Source organism: Homo sapiens, chromosome 2 (genome assembly GCF_000001405.40).
Source record: "Homo sapiens chromosome 2, GRCh38.p14 Primary Assembly".
NCBI lineage: Eukaryota > Metazoa > Chordata > Mammalia > Primates > Hominidae > Homo > Homo sapiens.
In genome coordinates, this window is record NC_000002.12 from 130521222 (window position 1) to 130528603 (window position 7382).

The 7382-nt window shown below is 52.8% G+C and overlaps 1 protein-coding gene across 1 annotated transcript; it reads left to right on the forward strand.

Moving 5' to 3' along the window:
- CFC1B (cryptic, EGF-CFC family member 1B) lies at positions 1–7382 on the forward strand. Its single transcript, NM_001079530.2, has 6 exons — positions 1–286; positions 592–641; positions 736–909; positions 1569–1683; positions 1948–2057; positions 6475–7382. Exons 1-6 carry the CDS (start codon positions 264–266, stop codon positions 6672–6674), a joined length of 672 nt encoding a protein of 223 aa, NP_001072998.1. The 5' UTR covers positions 1–263; the 3' UTR covers positions 6675–7382.

Genomic DNA, 7382 nt, shown 5'->3' on the forward strand with positions numbered 1-7382 from the left:
ATAGAGGGAATTGTTCTTCAGGCTCGGAGGGGCCTGCCTGTCACTGCGCCCCCGACCCTAGCTCAGGGACTGCAGAACTCAAGATACCATCCCGTTTCTCCTGGCTGAGGAAGGGAAGGGAACATCCACATCTTCTGTACTCGTCCATTCTGTGTCCCCGGGGCCTGGAGTAAAGACACCTTCAAATGCAGAGACTCTTCAGATTCAGCTTTCCTGGAAACTGATCTTCAATGCACTAAGAGAAGGAGACTCTCAAACCAAAAATGACCTGGAGGCACCATGTCAGGTAAGGACAGAGGTCATGAGATCTTAGAGCCAAGAAGGGGTCTTAAGAGCCTCAGAATAAATCGTAGTGCATGAGCCACTGTTCATTAAAGGAGGTGTACACTTTCTGTCTCAAAATCTTTCTAAGCCATAGCAAAATTAACAAAAACCTACAAGTTACAAAATGATTGCCTTATTCATTATAATTATTTTACATAATTTTATATTTATATATAATGATGGCATTGTATTTTTATGTGTATGTGAATTTCTGCTTATACTTCTAAAGATACTTTCAACTTCAATGATTTTCTTTAAATATTCTAGGCTTCTGTTTACGGTCAGTTTGGCATTACAGATCATCAATTTGGGAAACAGTAAGAAACATTTTATTCATAATTTCAGTTTTAATTGCATAAAATATTTGTTTCTCAATCATTATCAGTCTCACATTTTCAATATTTTTTAAAGGCTATCAAAGAGAGAAACATAACGGCGGTAGAGAGGAAGTCACCAAGGTTGCCACTCAGAAGCACCGACAGTCACCGCTCAACTGGACCTCCAGTCATTTCGGAGAGGTGACTGGGAGCGCCGAGGGCTGGGGGCCGGAGGAGCCGCTCCCATACTCCTGGGCTTTCGGAGAGGGTAAGTTGCAGCGCTGCCCACAAAATCCGGGGCGTCATCTCAGTCTGCGGACTCAGAGTTTAGGACCTGAGAATATGTAGGATAAATTCAGGATAAAATCCAAGGAGAGCATTTTGTTATCTTCAAATGATGATGCACTTACAAAGCTATAAAGCTAGAGACAGTTCCTAGTGAGGTGTTAAAAAGTTTTACTCTTTCATTGGTAAAACGTTGTATTTGCTCTTCAATGGTTATTTTGCTGCAGATCTAGAGAACTGTGATTTAAATGTGTTGAAAATAAATATCCCAAGCCAAGATAACAGCGGACTCTTGCTTGGCTTCTCCCAGACACCGCGTCCCCAGGAGGCCCCTCGCCGGTGGGTTTGGCGTCATCACACCCGTGGGTGGTCCCGCCCAGGAGGCCTGTGCTTAATCACTGTCAGGTGAAGCCACAGCCAGAGGTTAACATGTGAAAGGAAGGGAGAGAGCAAGCCCGGCTTGCAGGCCGCACCCCTGATAGTTTGTTTCACATCCCTAACAAGCAGGGTTTACCTGAGCAAACACACTTGGCTGGAGGCTGATTTTACTGCCTCCCCTGGGCGGCCACGTTCGGCCCCGTCCCTGCGGGGAGGGCCACGGGCCGCGGGGGGCGCGGGGCTGACGCCCGGGTGACCCCGCAGGTGCGTCCGCGCGGCCGCGCTGCTGCAGGAACGGCGGTACCTGCGTGCTGGGCAGCTTCTGCGTGTGCCCGGCCCACTTCACCGGCCGCTACTGCGAGCATGACCAGAGGCGCAGGTGGGCACAGGGGTGCGCGGGGTGGGGACGGGGGTGGGCGCCGGGTGAGGGACCTGCGGGTCTGGGGGCGCGGGAGTAGGCGTCAGGAGAGGGGCGCGCGGGTGCGGGGGCGCGGGAGTGGGCGCCGGGCGATGGGCGCGCGGGTTGGGGGGCGCGGGAGTTGGCGCCGGGGGAGGGATGCGCGGGTGGGGGAGCGGCGCAGGAGTGGGCGCCGGGCGAGGGGCGCGCGGGCCACCGCATTGATGCAGGTCCCCGTCTTCTCAGTGAATGCGGCGCCCTGGAGCACGGAGCCTGGACCCTCCGCGCCTGCCACCTCTGCAGGTGCATCTTCGGGGCCCTGCACTGCCTCCCCCTCCAGACGCCTGACCGCTGTGGTAAGAGGCCCTGTGATTCGGTCCCCAGCTCACCCCCGCACGCGGTTGCGCCTTCATTGCGGCTCACCCTCCATACCGATCCACAGTGCATCTTCCAGTGCCAGGCCACATAGCATTTAGCAAAGTAGATCGATTCATCATTGAAGAAAGTCGCATTCATTGGGAATCATATAGTGAATTAAATTTTGTTTTGAAGTTCTCATATCCAGATTGCTGAGTTTAAAAATGATTTCCAAACCATGTCCTCACATGTCCGTTTCAGTGAGCAGAATTTCAGGAGATGACCAGCTGGTAATCGGAGAGGAAGCTGGGAGACAAGTTAGCTGCGTAAATCTCAGGTGGTTTCCCTGCACTAGGCCAGCACCATCTGCTCAGCTGTGGGACCAGCAGGGACACAGGCAGGAGCCGCATTTCCCTCTGGAATCCTGTGCCTTCTCTCCTCTCCTCTTTGGTGATCACTGGCTGGGGCTAGCAATGGAGGGCACAGCTAGTGAAGGCCCAGCCTCTTGGCCCCAGCCCGAGCTCTGCCCTCTCCCAGGCCTGGGTGGGCTGGTGGTGCAGTGTCCAGAGGCACACCTGATGAAGCCAAGGCCCCTGATCCACTCTCCTGCCCCCTCCCTCCACTTCAGTCAGCCCTGGGCACCTCCATCTGTCAAAGAGCACAGCCCCGCAACCCCACTTCCCACCTGTCGCTCTCAGGCCGTCCTGCTAGGGCTGCATGGAGGGCAGCACCAGTGGCCCAAAGATCTTCAACCCGGCTCCCCCAGCCTCCCTCTTGCTCTTGGAGGCCCACAATGGAGGAGTACACAATGCATGCTTAGCTCTCCTTCACCTTCCTGTCCTCTCTTCTCTCCCTGGTAGGACCAGCAGTCAAGGGACACTCTTAATAGAGGCACAGCCCCCAACCCCACTTCCCACCCTGCTCCCTTCTCCTCAGCTAGCTCTGCATGGTGCCAGCAGGGAAGAGCACTCCCCCCCTGCCGTGCAGACCACATTTTCCCAAAGCACCCCCTCTTCTATGTGTGCTCCTTTTGCTGGGCCTCTGCCTCTGAAGTCACCAGCTGCTCCTCTATGCCCTAGAGACAGGAGGACACAGATTTCATGGACAGGCATCAGAATCACAGGGGGTGCTTGTGTGGTCCTCACAGATGAAGTCAGTTCCCACCTGCCATTAGGCCGCCCCAGCAGGAATGTGGGGAAGGGACTAGCTGTCATGACTTCCAGGATATCTGGTCATGATTTTACATTCTTGGAAACATCCAGTGCTGGGACTGCTATTTGCCAAGGACAATGATAATGGCTCTGAAAATGTGGCCTCTGTTCATCAAAGCTAGACAAAATAGTGCAGTCATCCTTCAGAGTCATCTGTCAGGTGCAGAGAGGGCAGTAACACCTTTGTGTTCTTTTACCCATTCATCCTGCTTCAAGGCAAGTTACAGTGATGCTGGTGATGGCTGTGCTGATGGTGGTTATGATGACTTGAAGTTTGACAACAGTGATGATAGATGGAACATCCTCCGTGGCAGGTGCCATTGCAATAGGGCAAGCTCTTCTGGGTGTTACAGCATGAGAGGAGCCCTCAGTGTATTTCAGGCACTTTATATACCCATTATCCCATTTAACTCTTATGAAAGCCAATGAAGTAGGTACACCTTTTACATTTGGGGAAGCTGAGACACAGAGAGATCAACTCCTACAGATAGTAAACAGGGTCTGATTCTTTACCTTGTGCCATTCCTGTAGTCTTTTTTTTTTTTTGAGATGGAGTCTCACTCTGTCGCCCGGGCTGGGGTGCAGTGGCGCAGTCTCGGCTCACTGCAAGCTCCACCTCCAGGGTTCATGCCATTCTCCTGCCTCAGCTTCCTGAGTAGCTGGGACTACAGGCACCTGCCACCACGCCCAGCTAACTTTTTTTATTTTTTATTTTTAGTAGAGACGGGGTTTAACCATGTTAGCCAGGATGGTCTCGATCTCCTGACCTTGTGATCCGCCCACCTCAGCCTCCCAAAGTGCTGGGATTACAGGCGTGAGCCACCGTGCCCGGCCCATTCTTGTACTCTTTCTATAAGAGTAATTATCAATATGACTGGGTACAGTGGCTCATGCCTATAATCCCAGCACTCTAGGAGGCTTAGGTGGGAAGATTGCTTGAGGCCAGGAGTTCGAGAACAGCCTGGGCAATATAGCAAGACCTGTCTCTACAAAAAATTAGCCAGGTGTGGTGACGAGCACCTCTGGTCCCAACTACTTGGGAGGCTGAGAGGCAAAAGGATCACTTGAGCCTAGGAGTGTGAGGTTACAGTGAGCTATGATTGCACCACTGCACTCCAACCTGGGTGACAGAGCGAGACCCTGTCTCTTAAAAAGAAAAGAAAGAATAAATATGAAACAAATGAAGATTTTTTTATAGTGTTGTATAGAATATAGAAAATTTGGTCATGTTCCAAAGCCAACAGCACAGTAATAGATAAGTAAATGTTTTAAATCCTTTAATGGGAGATTATGATGGTTTTGAAGAGTATGTGGAAGATAGAATATGTTGCTACAAAAGCATGGCTGCTGCAGGGACTCTCTGTCTGGGGATCACCAAGAGCCCTCCTTGCTCTGACTGATGCTCTGCGGGTCCAAGAATGAAAAGCTTCCATGTAGCAGGGACTTTTGCGCAGTCCTGAGCTAGCCAGGATCTCCTTGTTAGTCTAAGGGGGTGGTTCTTTCTACTGTGGCCCTAAAGCATCAAGTATCAGTTTTCACAAGCATCAAGAGACAGTTTACTACTCTAAAATTCAGAGTCTGTGGAATGACACAGTGATGTAGCCAACTCAGGTGTCTTCAGAGATGGGCAGGTAACACGGAAGTGAGATGGGGCCCGGTGAAGACTCACCTCACTGCTGCAAACTCATTTTTAAACATGCCATTCTGGCAAAAACCCACCAACCAACCAACAAGCAAACAAACATCCGTGGGCCAGACCCAGTCTACAGACCTCTGGGATGCCATTGGAATGGCTCTCACAGGTCCTGGCACCAGCTGACTCTGAGCCTGTAAGCATACACCCTGTGTCCAGCCCTCCTGTTTCCTTCCCTCAGGGGAAGGCCAGCACGGACCCAGTACTGCTGACCCCTTTCTCACCTGAATAGCTTCACATGCTGTGAGCGCCTGTCTTAGCACCAGCTTCTCTGGAGCCTCGTCTGAGCCTAGACGTTAGCATTCCTGTTTGGGGATTCTGGCACCCCTGGAACAATCCTCTCTCCCAAGGTGGGGTGCTATGGGGAGGTGGCACCCAAGCCTGGAGTGAGCCTGACCTGGCCAATGCTACCACAGCTTACCTGTGGACAGGTGTAGAGTGGTTCTTGCTGCAGGTGTTCATCTGCATCATTCCTTGTTAATTTCCAGTTTCATGCTCATGCCAGGTTCCCAAGTCCAGAGGACATCTCCTGGAGGTATAGCAGAGGGCAGGGCAGGCCTGGTCAGGGGGCAGGGAGGTGGCTGGCCTTTGCTCAGTGGCCCCGGGGAGAGGATCCCTGTAGTTGGGCATGCTCTTCTACCAGCCTGACCCCACTCCAAGACAGGCCTGGACTCGCTTGTGAGAATGTTCTAGTGGTGCTGGTTGCCATGCCTGCAAGGTTGTCCGCTTCACATGGCAACCACCACCCAGGGCATTAGCCAAGACCCTGCCCAGCCCCACCACTCCAGAGATTCCCATTCCGCTGTTCTGGGCTGGGGTCCCAGCTACACAAAGACCAAGGCTCAGGGACCCTCAGGGTTCAGCATGAATGAAGCCTGCTGTGAGGGGTGGGGAGGGGACACAGGGACTAGGCGTTCAGGCATGGCCTCCTATGACCAGCGGTGTGGGCGAGGGGGCCGGCAGGTGAGTCCCATGGGGCGCGGCGCCACTCACAGGGCTAGGCCTCCTCAGAACAGCAGCCAGACTTTGGATGGCTGCACCCTCCTGCTCTATCAGCTGTCCCTCGTCAAAGAAATATTTCGAGCACTCATTTGGGGAAAAGTGGAACCTTTGTTGCAGCAGATGGAAGCGAGCTGATTTATATACTATAGCACTGTTTTAAATCGGGTCTATGTGCCCCATCGCTCAATGACCTGGAGCGGGACTCCCTGAAAGGTCACGGGCCAAATGAAAAAGACGGAAGGGCTGTTGTTCGTTCCCCCTTTAAACACAGTACTGTAATTCTCCTTCAGCTCTCCGAGTTCTACAAACATTTAGAGGCTTCCCTCTGTGCAGCCGGCCGGGACTGGCCTCCGCACACCTCACCCTGCAGCGCGTCCCAGGGACAGAGCCTAGTGAGGGCGCAGGAGAAAAGGGCCTGCAGAAGGCAGGGAGCAGGCGTTTCTATTGCACTCTCTCAAACCGAGCCGGAACACTTTATTTCATACATCTCCGGTTTCTCTGTTTTTCCAGACCCGAAAGACTTCCTGGCCTCCCACGCTCACGGGCCGAGCGCCGGGGGCGCGCCCAGCCTGCTACTCTTGCTGCCCTGCGCACTCCTGCACCGCCTCCTGCGCCCGGATGCGCCCGCGCACCCTCGGTCCCTGGTCCCTTCCGTCCTCCAGCGGGAGCGGCGCCCCTGCGGAAGGCCGGGACTTGGGCATCGCCTTTAATTTTCTATGTTGTAAATAATAGATGTGTTTAGTTTACCGTAAGCTGAAGCACTGGGTGAATATTTTTATTGGGTAATAAATATTTTCATGAAAGCGCCTTTGGCTCCAGATCCTTGGGAGAGGGACACGTGTGTCCCCAGCACCACTGTGACCGGTAGGTAGAGACAGCAGAACAACAGCGAGAAGGAGCCAAAGCTGGAGCCAGAAAGCCTGGCACCGCCACCTTCCCCTGACAGTTAGCACCTTCCTTTCACAACATCTCCCTTAAGGGGGAAGCGTCTGCTGTGGAACCCACCGCAAGGCAACGCAGGCAGAGTTCAGCCTGAAGAGCGCCAGGCCAGCCTCCTCTGTCTTCCGAGCACCGCTTCTCAGGTCGCTTCCCAATCTGAGGAGGCTGTCGTGTCCACAACCAGTCCAGGGGGATGTGCGCCACTAGCTGAGGACGCCAGGCCCGGCGACACCACAAAGGCTTGGCCATGCGGAATGTGCCCTCAAGAGCACACACTTCGGGTAGAAGGCACTTGCATTGAGCTCTTCAGCTTTTTAAATCCACTGTAGTTCATGAGCCTGTGTGACACAATTACTTTTACATTTTATATTGTCAATTAGTTTATTGGCATTTTCAATCTTTTCAACTATTGGCTATGAAAATATGAATTTAACGTAACATTCAAATGAGTATTAAAGAAAAATAAAGTAGAACTTCAT

Excerpts from the sequence above, each read along its gene's own strand:
- CFC1B (NM_001079530.2), top strand. The coding sequence starts at position 264 with ATGACCTGGAGGCACCATGTCAG. Across the intron at positions 910-1,568 it reads CTCCTGGGCTTTCGGAGAGG|GTGCGTCCGCGCGGCCGCGC; the intron begins GTAAGTTGCAGC and ends GTGACCCCGCAG. Across the intron at positions 1,684-1,947 it reads GAGCATGACCAGAGGCGCAG|TGAATGCGGCGCCCTGGAGC; the intron begins GTGGGCACAGGG and ends CCGTCTTCTCAG.